General features: G+C 42.6%; 3 protein-coding genes across 6 annotated transcripts in view, besides 21 other annotated features; 2 read left to right on the top strand and 1 right to left on the bottom strand.

Moving 5' to 3' along the window:
- Positions 2687-4515: a transcriptional cis regulatory region, noted in NCBI's record as "-9302/-7479 XREM-like element; NheI/SpeI fragment". NCBI's record gives its function as "mediates response to xenobiotics" and the evidence as "EXISTENCE:deletion mutation evidence [ECO:0005510][PMID:11162490]".
- Positions 2687-12099: a biological region, named in NCBI's record as "CYP3A7 5' regulatory region". NCBI's record gives its function as "regulatory_interactions: CYP3A7".
- Positions 5731-5749: an enhancer, noted in NCBI's record as "GRE-6.2 (DR7)". NCBI's record gives its function as "mediates induction by dexamethasone" and the evidence as "EXISTENCE:reporter gene assay evidence [ECO:0000049][PMID:22253426]".
- Positions 6932-7444: an enhancer, noted in NCBI's record as "OCT4-NANOG hESC enhancer chr7:99337371-99337883 (GRCh37/hg19 assembly coordinates)". NCBI's record gives its function as "activates a minimal SCP1, AML or CMV promoter by ChIP-STARR-seq in primed H9 embryonic stem cells {active_cell/tissue: H9 hESC(primed)}" and the evidence as "EXISTENCE:reporter gene assay evidence [ECO:0000049][PMID:30033119]".
- Positions 7074-7092: an enhancer, noted in NCBI's record as "GRE-4.9 (ER7)". NCBI's record gives its function as "mediates induction by dexamethasone" and the evidence as "EXISTENCE:reporter gene assay evidence [ECO:0000049][PMID:22253426]".
- Positions 8159-8170: an enhancer, noted in NCBI's record as "GRE-3.8 (IR0)". NCBI's record gives its function as "mediates induction by dexamethasone" and the evidence as "EXISTENCE:reporter gene assay evidence [ECO:0000049][PMID:22253426]".
- Positions 9086-9326: an enhancer, noted in NCBI's record as "-2.5 kb to -2.25 kb enhancer". NCBI's record gives the evidence for it as "EXISTENCE:reporter gene assay evidence [ECO:0000049][PMID:11495920]".
- Positions 9086-12099: a promoter, noted in NCBI's record as "-2.5 kb promoter construct". NCBI's record gives the evidence for it as "EXISTENCE:reporter gene assay evidence [ECO:0000049][PMID:11495920]".
- Positions 9157-12597, bottom strand: part of ZSCAN25 (zinc finger and SCAN domain containing 25) — a 121090-nt gene continuing 117649 nt past the window's right edge. For all 4 annotated transcript variants that reach the window (XR_927402.3, XR_007059989.1, XR_007059990.1 and 1 more), the window contains one exon: positions 9157-10500. The gene's annotated coding sequence lies outside the window, so the exon portion shown is untranslated. The remainder of the gene's footprint in view (positions 10501-12597) is intronic.
- Positions 9262-9291: an enhancer, noted in NCBI's record as "NF-kB element". NCBI's record gives the evidence for it as "EXISTENCE:reporter gene assay evidence [ECO:0000049][PMID:11495920]".
- Positions 9262-9291: a protein binding site, noted in NCBI's record as "NF-kB element". NCBI's record gives its function as "positive regulation of transcription" and the evidence as "EXISTENCE:protein binding evidence [ECO:0000024][PMID:11495920]".
- Positions 9637-10836: an enhancer, noted in NCBI's record as "MED14-independent group 3 enhancer chr7:99333979-99335178 (GRCh37/hg19 assembly coordinates)". NCBI's record gives its function as "activates an origin of replication core promoter dependent on BRD2, BRD4, P300/CBP and CDK7 cofactors, and independent of MED14, by STARR-seq in HCT116 cells {active_cell/tissue: HCT116}" and the evidence as "EXISTENCE:reporter gene assay evidence [ECO:0000049][PMID:35650434]".
- Positions 10528-10539: an enhancer, noted in NCBI's record as "GRE-1.4 (DR0)". NCBI's record gives its function as "mediates induction by dexamethasone" and the evidence as "EXISTENCE:reporter gene assay evidence [ECO:0000049][PMID:22253426]".
- Positions 11821-11851: an enhancer, noted in NCBI's record as "ER6-JMP". NCBI's record gives its function as "functions as an enhancer when multimerized" and the evidence as "EXISTENCE:reporter gene assay evidence [ECO:0000049][PMID:10403778]".
- Positions 11821-11851: a protein binding site, noted in NCBI's record as "ER6-JMP". NCBI's record gives the evidence for it as "EXISTENCE:protein binding evidence [ECO:0000024][PMID:10403778]".
- Positions 11857-12099: a promoter, noted in NCBI's record as "-140 bp promoter construct". NCBI's record gives the evidence for it as "EXISTENCE:reporter gene assay evidence [ECO:0000049][PMID:11495920]".
- Positions 11858-11877: a protein binding site, noted in NCBI's record as "-136 to -117". NCBI's record gives its function as "positive regulation of promoter activity" and the evidence as "EXISTENCE:protein binding evidence [ECO:0000024][PMID:11495920]".
- Positions 11858-11877: a protein binding site, noted in NCBI's record as "-136 to -117". NCBI's record gives the evidence for it as "EXISTENCE:protein binding evidence [ECO:0000024][PMID:11495920]".
- Positions 11903-11931: a protein binding site, noted in NCBI's record as "E-box; -90 to -63". NCBI's record gives its function as "positive regulation of promoter activity" and the evidence as "EXISTENCE:protein binding evidence [ECO:0000024][PMID:11495920]".
- Positions 11941-11960: a protein binding site, noted in NCBI's record as "BTE". NCBI's record gives its function as "positive regulation of promoter activity" and the evidence as "EXISTENCE:protein binding evidence [ECO:0000024][PMID:11495920]".
- Positions 11942-11961: a protein binding site, noted in NCBI's record as "BTE". NCBI's record gives the evidence for it as "EXISTENCE:protein binding evidence [ECO:0000024][PMID:1562592]".
- Positions 11967-11972: a TATA box. NCBI's record gives the evidence for it as "COORDINATES:motif similarity evidence [ECO:0000028][PMID:11495920]".
- CYP3A7-CYP3A51P (CYP3A7-CYP3A51P readthrough) overlaps positions 11996-12597 on the top strand; it is a 50520-nt gene continuing 49918 nt past the window's right edge. Inside the window, exon 1 of the mRNA NM_001256497.3 lies at positions 11996-12169. Within this exon, the coding sequence (NP_001243426.2) occupies positions 12099-12169 (71 nt within the window). The 5' untranslated portion in view covers positions 11996-12098. The remainder of the gene's footprint in view (positions 12170-12597) is intronic.
- CYP3A7 (cytochrome P450 family 3 subfamily A member 7) overlaps positions 11996-12597 on the top strand; it is a 30161-nt gene continuing 29559 nt past the window's right edge. Inside the window, exon 1 of the mRNA NM_000765.5 lies at positions 11996-12169. Within this exon, the coding sequence (NP_000756.3) occupies positions 12099-12169 (71 nt within the window). The 5' untranslated portion in view covers positions 11996-12098. The remainder of the gene's footprint in view (positions 12170-12597) is intronic.

Raw genomic sequence — 12597 nt, 5'->3', positions numbered from 1 at the left:
TTTATGGCTGCATAGTATTCCATGGTGTATATGTGCCATATTTTCTTAATCCAGTCTATCATTGACAGACATTTGGCTTGGTTCCAAGTCTTTGCTATTTTGAATAGTGCCACAATAAACATACGGGTACACGTGTCTTTATAGCAGCATGATTTATAATCCTTTGGGTATATACCCAGTAATGGGATGGCTGGGTCAAATGGTATTTCTAGTTCTAGATCCCTGAGGAATCGCCACACTGACTTCCACAGTGGTTGAACTAGTTTACAGTCCCACCAACAGTGTAAAAGTGTTCCTATTTCTCCACATCCTCTCCAGCACCCGTTGTTTCCTGACTTTTCAATGATCGCCGTTCTAACTGGTGTGAGATGGTATCTCATTGTGGTTTTGATTTGCATTTCTCTGATGGCCAGTGATGATGAGCATTTTTTCATGTGTCTGTTGGCTGCATAAATGTCTTCTTTTGAGAAGTGTCTGTTCATATCCTTTGCCCACTTTTTGATGAGATTGCTTGTTTTTTTCTTATAAATTTGTTTGAGTTCTTTGTAGATTCTGGATATTAACCCTTTGTCAGATGAGTAGATTGCAAAAATTTTTTCCCATTCTGCAGGCTACCTTTTCACTCTAATGGTAGTTTCTTTTGCTGTGCAGAAGCTCTTTAGTTTCATTAGATCCCATTTGTCAATTTTGGCTTTTGTTGCCATTGCTTTTGGTGTTTTAGACATGACGTCCTTGCCCATGCCTATGTCCTGAATGGTATTGCCTAGGTTTTCTTCTAGGGTTTTTATGGTTTTAGGTCTTACATTTAAGTCTTTATTCCATCTTGAATTAATTTTTGTATAAGGTGTAACGAAGGGATCCAGTTTCAGCTTTCTACATATGGCTAGCCAGTTTTCCCAGCACCATTTATTAAATAGGGAATCCTTTCCCCATTGCTTGTTTTTGTCAGGTTTGTCAAAGATCAGATGGTTGTAGATGTGTGGTGTTTGTTCTGAGGCCTCTGTTCTGTTCCATTGGTCCATATCCCTGTTTTGGTACTAGTACCATGCTCTTTTGGTTACTGTAGCCTTGTAGTATAGTTTGAAGTCAGGTAGCGTGATTCCTCCAGCTTTGCTCTTTTTGCTTAGGATTGTCTTGGGAATGTGGGCTCTTTTTTGGTTCCATATGAAATTTAAAGTAGTTTTTTTTCCAATTCTATGAAGAAAGTCATTGGTAACTTGATGGGGATGGCATTGAATCTATAAATTACCTTGGGAAGTATGGCCATTTTCACGATATTGATTCTTCCTATCCATGAGCATGGAACATTCTTCCATTTGTTTGTGTCCTCTTTGATTTTGTTGAGCAGTGGTTTGTAGTTCTCCTTGAAGAAGTCCTTCACCTCCCTTTAATTTGGATTACTAGATATTTTATTCTCTTAGTAACAATTGCAAATGGGAGTTCACTCATGATTTGGCTCTCTTTCTGTTATTGGTGTATAGGAATGCTTGTGATTTTTGCGCATTAATTTTGTATCCTGAGACTTTGCTGAAGTTGCTTATCAGCTTAAAAGGATTTTGGGCTGAGACGATGGGGTTTTCTAAATATACAATCATGGCATCTGCAAACAGGAACAATTTGACTTCCTCTTTTCCTAATTGAATACCCTTTATTTCTTTTTCTTGCCTGATTGCCCTGGCCAGAACTTCCAATACTATGTTGAATAAGAGTCATGAGTGAGGGCATCGTTGTCTTGTGCTGGTTTCAAAGTTTTTGCCCATTCAGTATGATTTTGGCTGTGGTTTTGCCATAAATAGCTCTTATTATTTTGAGATACGTTCCACCAATACCTACTTTATTGAGAGTTTTTAGCAGGAAGGGCTGTTGAATTTTGTCGAAGGCCTTTTCTACATCTATTGAGACAATTATGTGGTTTTTTAATCGTTGATTCTGTTTATGTGATGGATTACATTTATTAATTTGCATATGTTGAACCAGCCTTGCATCCCAGGGATGAAGCCCACTTGATTGTAGTGGATAAGCTTTTTGATGTGCTGCTGGATTCAGTTTGCCAGTATTTTATTGAGGATTTTGGCATCAATGTTCATCAGGGATATTGGTCTAAAATTCTCTTTTTTTGTTGTGTCTCTGCCAGGCTTTGGTATCAGGATGATGCAGGCCTCAGAAACTGAGTTAGGGAGGATTCCCTCATTTTCTATTGATTGGAATAGTTTCAGAAAGAATGGTACCAGCTACTCTTTGTACCTCTGGTAGAATTCAGCTGTGAATCCATCTGGTCCTGGACTTTTTGGTTGGTAGGCTATTAATTATTGCCTCAATTTTAGGGCCTGTTATTGGTCTATTCAGACATTCAACTTCTTCCCGGTTTGGTCTTGGGAGGGTTTATGTGTCCAGGAATTTATCCATTTCTTCTAGATTTTCTAGTTTATTTGTGTAGAGGTGTTTATAGTATTGTCTGATGGTAGTTTGTATTTCTGTGAGATCGGTGGTGATATCCCCTTTATCATTTTTTATTGCATCTATTTAATTCTTCTCTCTTTTCTTCTTTATTATTCTGGCTGGCGGTCTGTCAATTTTTTTGATCTTTTCAAAAAACCAGCTCCTGGGTTTCACTGATTATTTGAAGGGTTTTTTGTGTCTCTATTTCTTTCAGTTCTCCTGTGATCTTAGTTATTTCTTGCCTTCTGCTAGCTTTTGAATGTGTTTGCTCTTCCTTCTCTAGTTCTTTGAATTGTGATGTTACAGTGTTGATTTTAGATCTTTCCTGCTTTCTCTTGTGGTCATTTAGTGCTATAAATTTCCCTCTACACATTGGTTTACATGTGTCTCAGAGATTCTGGTATGTTGTGTCTTTGTTCTCATTCATTTCAAGAACATCTTTACTTCTGCCTTCATTTTGTTATTTGCCCAGTAGTCATTCAGGAGCAGGTTGTTCAGTCTTCATGTAGTTGTGTGGTTTTGAGTGAGTTTCTTAATCCTGAGTTCTAATTTGATTGCACTGTTGTCTGAGAGACAGTTTGTTGTGATTTCCATTCTTTTACATTTACTGAGCATGCTTTATGTCCCATTATGTGGTCAATTTTAGAATAAGTGTGATGTGATGCTGAGAAGAATGTATATTCTGTTGATTTGGGGTGTGGAGTTCTGTAGATGTCTATTCAGTCCACTGGGTGCAGAGCTGAGTGGACATGAACATTTTATCAAAGAAGAAACACAGCTATCAAAAATCCAGAAATATTGAACCTTGTTAATAATAAAGTGGCTGGCCTCTGGTTCATTCCTGTAATCTCAGTCCTTTGAAAGGCTGAGAAAGGAGGATCACTTGAGGCCACAAGTTCAAGACCATCCTAGACAAGTCAGTTCAAGACCAGACTTCATGTCTACAAAACATCAAAAAATTAGCCAGGCATGGTGATGCATGCCTGTCATCCCAGCTACTCAGGAGGCTGAGGCAGGAGGATTGCTTGAGCCTGGGAGATTGAAGTGGCAGTGAGCCATGATTGTGCCATTGCACTCCAGCCTGGGCAATGCATCAAGACTCTGTCTAAACAATAATAATAATAATAGTAATAGTAATAATAATAATAATAAAGAAAACGGTTGGGACGCCATTCCTTACTTATTCAATACACAAAGTTAAAAGCAATTTCTACTTTCTCTATTTTTTTATTACTAAAAAAAGCTGAACCATTCTCACAGCCTGAAATGCTTCTCACCTTCCCCTCTTCTATACAAACACTTCTCTGTTGATGATAATGCAGACAGTCTCTCCTTTAGGAATACTTCACACCAGGTAGTTCCAGATCCCCTTATCTCTGCCTTCCCAGAGCTCCTGGTGTCTCCCCAGTTCCCTCTGTGTGGTGAAGTACCCCCACCTTGGGTCTCAGCATGACTCGTTCTTTGAAGGTCTTGTTCACATTTTCCCTTATGGTTCTGTTCCCCTGTGTTGTGTCACAGCACTGGGCAGAGTGGACAACCCATTCACACCGATAGAGAGGGCCCCATGGTTCTGGAGATAACCATGTAACTGATCAGAATAGGGCATTGAGGGCTGGGTGTCAGGCATGGGCTGCACTTGGGTGGGCAGGCCCCCTGGAAAGTCACAGGATTTGGCAAGCTTCCTAGTAACATCTCTCCCTGGGGTCCTCTTGGAACTTCATGCCCGATGCTGGATGCTGGTTTATTCTCGAGAGATGGTTCATTCCAATAATCAATGAAACTCATGTCCCAACTAAAGTTCATAAACTCCAGTTTGTAAACTGAGATAATCTCAGCTGAATGAACTTGCTGACCCTCTGCTTTCCCCCAGCCTCTCAGTGCCCTTGAAATCATGTCAGTTCAAGCAGCCCCATGAGGCATTACAATGTTTAGTTATTTCAGTGTTTATTAAACCTTGCCCTATGCTGACCCCAGGTGAATCACAAGCTGGACTTCTGACAAGGACAAGCTATGATATTCTTTTCAATTACAGAAAAAGTAAGTTAACTGATAGGATTTTTTAAAGATGTTACTAGTTTTGGAAAGGTAATTTGTGCACATGGTAAACAAGAAGGTATAAGAGGATAATGCTTTTATACTGCTGAGAATAATGTTTTCTCTAATTTTTTTTGGTAGATGCTTTCATCAGATTAATAAAATTCACTGCTGTTAGTTGTTGAAGGTTTTTTATATCATGAATGGGAGTTGAATATTATCATGTATTATTAATATATTATTATTGAACTAGCAAAGGCTCTTCCTAAAACAATTGAGATGATCTTATAATCATTCTCCTTTAATCTGTTGATGAGATCATTGGTATTTATACTTTTTCTCTGTTAACTATTCTTGAGTCTCAGGTTTAAATTCAACTTGGTCATGGTGTATCATCTTTGAACACTCCTGTCTCTGGCTTGCTACTATTGTGTTCAGCATTTTTGCACTGATGCCGATGAATGAGACTGGCATGTCATCTTCCTTTGCGGTCCTGATTTTTTTCAGATTTGGATCATGTGGCCCTCATTGAATGAGTTGGGTGTGATGCCTTCTTTTTCATGTAACTGGATTGATGGGACACTTTGGAGTCTCTCCAGATGGCCCTCAATGGTCCCTGCCTCCTCATTGTTAGGCTCCTAGGCAACCCTTTCTCATTTCTGGTAGGCCCAGGAACCTGTGGGTTTTATGTTTGTTTGTTTGTTTGTTTGTTTGTTTTTTGAGTTGGAGTCCTGCTTTGTCTCCCAGGCTGGGGTTGGAGTGCAATGGCCTGATCTCGGCCCACTGCAACCTCCACCTCCTGGGTTCAAGTGATTCTCCTGCCTCAGCCTTCTGTGTAGCTGGGATTACAGGCATCCACCACCACTCCTGGCTAATTTTTGTATTTTTAGTAGAGACGGGGTTTTACAATATAGGCCATTGTGATCTCTTGGACAGGCTAGTCTCAAATTCCTGACCTCATGATCTGCCTGCCTCAGCCTCCCAAAGTGCTGAGATTACAGTTTTGTGCCTCCACACACAGTGAATCTGTGGTTTTTAAAAGCTCCTCATGCATGTGAATTCTGTGAGCATCCCGGGATGACAGCCACTGTGTGTCCAGCTGTTAAAACTGTGAGAAAGCACCAGCGGGACCCTCTCCAGCATTTGCTTGCTGTGGTCATGAAAGAGGCTTGTTGGGGAGATGATGCCCTGGTTGACTCCTGAAGGATGGTTAGGAATGCACCAGATGGAAGCTGGGTTGGACCCAGTCTATGCTAAAGAACAGCTTGTGTGGACACAAGGAGACACGAACACATCATTTTTGCAGAGCCTGGGGAGTAGCCAATCGCACCATTTGCTTAAAACACCGTGTACAGTTGGAGAAGTGGACTGAGACAGGCTGAAGAAGCTAACAGTGGCCAGATGAGAAAGGGTCTTGTGTTACTTCCTAGATATACTTAGATTTTATCCTGTGAGTGATAGGAACAGTTGCAGGGACTGAAGCCAAGGAAGCATGCTTTAAGATTCCATGTTTTTTGAGATGCTGTCTGGTGGCTGAGTAGGGAATTCCCTGGATAAGTACTGCCCAGGGTAGGCAAAAGAAGCTAGGAGGTTACTGAAATAAGGAGTATGAGAAATGGTGTAGGTTTTGCTGATGTTTTGTAACACATCTCATGACAATCTTCATTTCCTTCACCAATTTCCTGTTTCATTAATTCCCTTCCACGTGCTCTTCTGAAATTTGCCTCATATTCTTTGATTTCTCTTTTACATGTTGGTTTCATCACCTTTTACTTTTTGCTTTCCTGGAAACACAAATGATTCTGATTGTGACATGTCAGAATTATTTGCAACATTCCCCTTTCTGCTGAAACATGAGCTCACTGAATACACAATTTAGTAAAGTGTAGGATGCACATGTTGTTTTCATGGTCATAACCAGCTCTGTAGCATTTTATAACTACACTGGCAGTGTGCTGGGAGGTGTAGAGAGAAATATTTATCTCATGTGTGGCTGACACAACCTGCCAAGTTGTTTTAGGAGCCTTCTTGGAATCCCAGCAAGAACACCACTGATGCAATTTGAAATCACAATGTCCTGCTCCATGCCCTGGCTTCATGGCTTAGTCACGTCTGAAGTCTATTTCTAACTATCTGTTTCCACATCTATAAAGCATGAGTTAAATCATCCTAATACTACTCATCTTACAAAGTTTTCTTGCTGATATTAGGAGAGTTGGGAAAGAACTGTATAAATTATGAAGTGCCATGGAGATGTTGGTGGTTACTTTATCAAGAAATAGACACTCCAGAATAGAGTAGAAAGAAAACAGTTATGATTAAGTCCTCCTCCTCTTCTTTTTTTTTAATTTACAAAGAAAGGTTTAATTGAGTCACAGTTCCATATGGTTGGGGAGGCTCAGAAAACTTGCAATCATGGCAGTTGGCAAAGTGGAAGAAGGCACCTTCTTCACAAGGTGGCAGGAGAGAGAGAGCTCCTCTTCTTTTTTGTTGTAAAGTCTACAGAAGTGCATATACTTCAGGGCAAGGGCAGGCAGGGAGAAGAAAGGACATTGCTTCACCCCAGTCCTCACTGACAAGTTTGCTTTGGGACTTCATTTTGTCCCAGCATATGGGACAGAGCTCTGGCCACTACCCATTCAGAAGGCCTGAGCTGCATTGCTAGTTCCCCACTAACTCTGTGTGTCCTTGGGCAAGGCTGGGCTTATGTCAAAAGATTATGACCCTGGGCTCTCCAGCTACAGAATCTACATATGAATCCTGGCTCTGCTAGAGCAATTAGTGACGTAACCTTGGATGGGTCAGTTAACCTTCCTGTGGCTTAGTTTGCTCATCTGTAAAATAGGGATCATAACAACATCAATACCATGGGTTGTTAGACAGATTGAATCAGTTAATGCAGGGTAAATACTTAGCATGACACGTATTCACTATCATTTCCTTGAGTAAAAGCTGAGTGTGAGTGGGTGTGAGAATGTGTGAAACCCTTTCACTGCAATCTCAGTTAAGAAACCCATCCATAATTTAAAGTTCAGGGCCTAAATGGGTGGTTATCTTCTCCCAGTTGCATCCTATCCCACCTTTGCTCTTCTCCTGCCTGTAGGAGCTGTTGGTCTTTGATTGGGCTGGAAGACCTGGTGGACCCTAAGTGATCTATAAGAGAATGAGAATAGAGGACAGGGAATGTCTTCAAAACTCCTAGAGGGACACAGAGGCTGAGAGGCAGGCAGTCCTGCAGGGGTCTTCTGATTGGGACAAGGAGGACCTTGGTCTTCATAGGCCAATTCTGGTCAATTTCCCCCATGGACAGATGAGGAAACAGATCCAGGAATATCCAAGGTCTCACACTTCCCATCTGTCAAGTCTTGTTGATTCTGTTGTATTCATGTCTTTCAAAGAGAGAGAGAGTTTAAGGAAAGAAAGAAGGATCAACTGTGTCTGATATCACTGGGAGCTTAAGTAAAGGGTTCTTTTACTTCATAGCATTTTTCCCAATTTGTAATTCAGTATTATTTTTGTCACTGTTTAGTATCTCTTTGTCCTATTAGAGAGATAGCTTCATCAGGACAAGGATTTTGATTCTTTAATATTTAGTGCTTGCCACATGCCCTGAACACAGCAGGCATACAGACTAACCAACATACAGTGGCATCGAAGTGAGACACCTACCTCCTCCAGTGCCTAGAGTACATGTCCATGGACCTGTCACTCTCCTCAACACCACCCCTAAGCATGAGGCCCGAAAGCATTGCTAATCCCCTCCTCCAGCCACCAAAACTTAAAGGCCAGGTGTGGTGGCTCCTATCTGAAATCTCAGAACTTTAGGAGACAGCAGCAGGAGGATCACTTGAGGCCAGGAATTTGAGACGAGCCTGGGCAACATAGCTAGACACCATCTGTACTAAAAATTAGCTGGGCATGGTGGTATACCTGTAGTACCAGCTACTAAGGAGGCTGAGGTAGGAGGATCACTTGAACCCAGGAGGTGGAAGCTACAGTGAGCTATAACCACAGCACTGAACTCCAGCCTGAGCAACAGAGTGAGACCCTGCCTCAAAACAATTTCAAAAATAAATAAATAAAAACAAAACTTAGATACCACGTGGTCACCCCAACATGCAAAATCAAGTTTTCCCCTACTGAGAAGAATGGGGACTTGAGAGCTGAGTTACAGAGAGATAATCTGTCTTTTTTTTTTTTTTTTTTTTTTTTGGTTTACATCCTCAAGATCATGACCTGTGAAATTTGAATCTAATACACAAATCATTCCAGAGCAATGTTGCTTCTGCCTACCACGAGTAATTCACTTGGCCACTGGAAGTCAGAACAAGCTTCCCAGAAGAGAGGTACCACTTGGACTACCAATATAAAAGGATGAAAATATCGGAGTGAAGGTGTTCCTTGCATCACTGAGTCCCTGGACAGCCTGTCCACTCATGCTGATATCTGAGCCTAATGCTTCTCTGAATGTTGAGATTTAACTTTGATCCAATGAAACCAGACCAAGAAAGAAGAAACGTCTTTCATTGTTGATAAGGACATGATTTTTCTCACAATTTTATGATTATTTTTCCTTAGCTGTCCTATAATTATCTGCTTATTTGTCTCTTCTCCATGTGCTTAGGGTACAAAGTTGACCAAGACCAAGAATAATGTCTGGGAGCACAATACTGACAGCACAGCTTTAAAAACATGATGAATGCTTTAATACAGGAAATGAGTAGGGGAGAGGCAAGTGTTGCTTGGGTGTTCTTCCAATGCATAGTATCTTCCTTGACACAGTCAGTGCAGCTCTCAGTAGGCAAGTCCCTACATGTTAGAAGATGTTACTTTCTGTGGAATTAAGTGGCAGAACATGCCTTCAATTATTTTCCTTTGCAGAACAACACCAATTTCATTAGTTAGGACAGAGTGCTGGCTGCATTTGAATTCCAAGCAACGATTAGTCTATCACTGTTGGTATAGATTCCAACCAGTCACACCACCTCCTGAAGTTTGTAGGGCAGGTAAATCTTCATCTTAGAATAAAAATCATCTTAGCCAAGTAAGTGTTTTAGAGGAAAGAAGAAAACATAATCGTTTCCATAAGAGTTTTGTTTCTAAAAAAATAAGAAAGGCTCTTTGTTTAGGTGAGCTAATGAAGTTGTTGATAGTTATCAGATGACACTGGAATCTTTACTTGTCAGAATGTGTTCTGTGCACCTCTCGGTGTGGCAACATAGAGAGGGAGATCCTCCAGCAATGCCATTGATATGGTCAGAAACTGCATCTTTCTTTCTCCCTGCTGAGATGGAGTCCTTTGTTCTAGAAAACCCAGGGGGTGCCACTGGGAGTAACCCTTGAGACAGGAACACGAATCTCAACCAATTTCTGGTTGCAGCCTTGAGTCTTACTATTTGCCATAGTGATGCTTAGCAAGGAATGGCAGGTGCACCAGAGCAGCAGAGGACCTAATATCTCCCTTCCTGTTAACTTTTTATAATATTTTATTGTGATCAGTATCAGTTGGGAAGCTACTTGCAGTCACTGAGCCTCAGTTTCTACATCTGTAAACTGGGGATAGTAGCATGGCCCTATTTAATGTGCTCAGCGAAGCCACTGAAAGGAGACAGAAATGTACCAGAATTCCCTGGACTTTTATCCTACTTCTCCTGGGGATTGTCACCCACCTACCCGTGTCTGTCCTTTGTTGCTTTGACGCTGTCACTTCTTTTCTTAGGTACCTCTCTGTAGGGCTCCATTATTCCAGGGATTCCAGAGTTACAGCACATGCATACCTCCATCCAAGCATGTTTATTTGTCTCCTGCTTCACTAGGCTGTCCCCAAGGAACATGTGGCTCCCGGCACATACCTGGCACAACACTGCACATGACATTCACCCACTTGGCCTTGAATCTGACAAGGAATCTGGCATGATGTTCACCTGCTGAGGCCAGGTGCCGAGCAGCCCTGGAGGCTTAGGGGCCAGAGGGATGGGAAAAGGTGTCTTTCTGGGGTGAGTATCAGTTTCTGCAGGAGTGCTGAACCTGAGAAAGAATAAAGAGAGAAGGAAGTGAACAAGCACAGCTTAAACATCATCTGTTTCTACTGAGTTTTAACAACTCTGAGATTTTGTTTGTCATGGAATCCATTTCTCAGGCCAAGCAGACACAGAACTTGGGTGTGAGTGATGATAATGAGCTGATATAATTTTCACACCCTCATCACTGAGATCTCTCCCATCAGGAATGGGTCACAGGGCTCACAGGTGGCAGCAACTGTTATTACAGGCCTCATCTCTACCAGCTCCTGGCACCTGCTCTCCTCCCATTAGAAAATCCTCCACTTGTCAAAAAGGAAGCCATTTGCTTTGAATTCCAATTCCACCCTCAAGAGGCTGGGACCACCTCATTGGAGTCCTTGATGCTGTGTGACCTGCAGTGACCACTGCCCCATTGTTGCTGGCTGAGGTGGTTTGGGTCAACCTGGCCATCTGGGCAGCTGTTCTCTTCTCTTCTTTCTCCCCTACTGTTTCCAGACATGCAGTATTTCCAGAGAGAAGGGGCCACTCTTTGGCAAAGAACCTGTCTAACTTTCTATCTACGGCAGGACTTTTGAAAGCTACAGAGGAAGAAGCACAAATTGATGCTATTCCACTAAGCCATCAGCTCCATCTCATCCATGCCATGTCTCTTTTTTAGGGGTCCTCTTGCCAACAGAATCACAGAGGACAAATCTGAAAGTGCAGAGACAGCAGCTGAGGCACAGCCAAGAGCTCTGGCTGTATTAATGACCTAAGAAGATGGAGTGGTCACCAGAAAGTCAGAGGAAGTGACACACAGGGGCCCAGCAATCTCAGCCAAGTCAACTCCACCAGCCTTTCTGGTCCCCACTGTGTGTACAGCACCCTGATAGGGACCAGAGCCATGAGAGTGAGTAAGACCAGACTATGCCCTTGAGGAGCTCACCTCTGCTAAGGGAAACAGGCCTGGAAACACACAATGGTGGTAAAGAGGAAAGAAGACAATAGAACTGCATGAAGGGGATGGAAAGTGCCCAGGGGAGGAAATGGTTACTTCTGTGTGAGGGGGTTGGTGAGGAAAGACTCTAAGAGAAGGCTCTGTCTGGCTGGGTATGAAAGGATGTGTAGGAGTCTTCTAGGGGGCACAGGCACACTCCAGGCATAGGTAAAGATCTGTAGGCATGGCTTGTTGGGATGAGTTTCAAGTATTCTGGAATGAGGACAGCCATAGAGACAAGAGGAGAGTTAATAGATTTTATGCCAATGGCTCCACTTGAGTTTGTGATAAGAACCCAGAACCCTTGGACTCCCCAGTAACATTGATTGAGTTGTGTATGATTCTACATAGAATATTAACTCAATGGAGGTCAGTGAGTGGTGTGTGTGTGATTATTTGCCAACTGCCGAGGTGGAGAAGCCTCTTCCGACTGCAGGCAGAGCACGGGGGCCCTGCTACTGGCTGCAGCTCCAGCCCTGCCTCCTTCTCCAGCATATAAACAATCCAACAGCCTCACTGAATCACTGCTGTGCAGGGCAGGAAAGCTCCACACACACAGCCCAGCAAACAGCAGCACGCTGCTGAAAAAAAGACTCAGAGGAGAGAGATAAGGAAGGAAAGTAGTGATGGATCTCATCCCAAACTTGGCCGTGGAAACCTGGCTTCTCCTGGCTGTCAGCCTGATACTCCTCTATCTGTGAGTAACTGTTCAGGCTCCTCTTCTCTGTTTCCTTGGACTTGGGGTGCTAATCAGGCCTCTCTTTCCCTTATCTGTTTTGAATAGCAAAAAGGATGTTCAGGCTGGCCGTGGTGGCTCACACCTGTCATCCCAGAACTTTGGGATGCTGAGCAGGTGGACTGCCTGAGGTCAGGAGTTCAAGACCAGCCTGGCTAATATGGTGAAACCCCATCTCTACTAAAATTACAAAAATTAGCTGGGCATGGTAGTGCATAACTGTAGTCCCAGCTACTTGGGTGGCTGAGGCAGGAGAATTGCTTGAACCTGGGAGGCGGAGGTTGCAGTGAACTGAGATCATGCCACTGCACTCCAGCCTGGGTAACAGAGTGAGATTCCATCTCAAAAAAAAAAAAAGAGAAAAAAAAGAAAAAAAAAGATTTTCAAGG

This window comes from Homo sapiens, chromosome 7, assembly GCF_000001405.40.
Source record: "Homo sapiens chromosome 7, GRCh38.p14 Primary Assembly".
Classification (NCBI taxonomy): domain Eukaryota; kingdom Metazoa; phylum Chordata; class Mammalia; order Primates; family Hominidae; genus Homo; species Homo sapiens.
The sequence above is the reverse complement of the archived record's forward strand: the minus strand, read 5'-3'. Positions and strand labels throughout refer to the sequence as shown.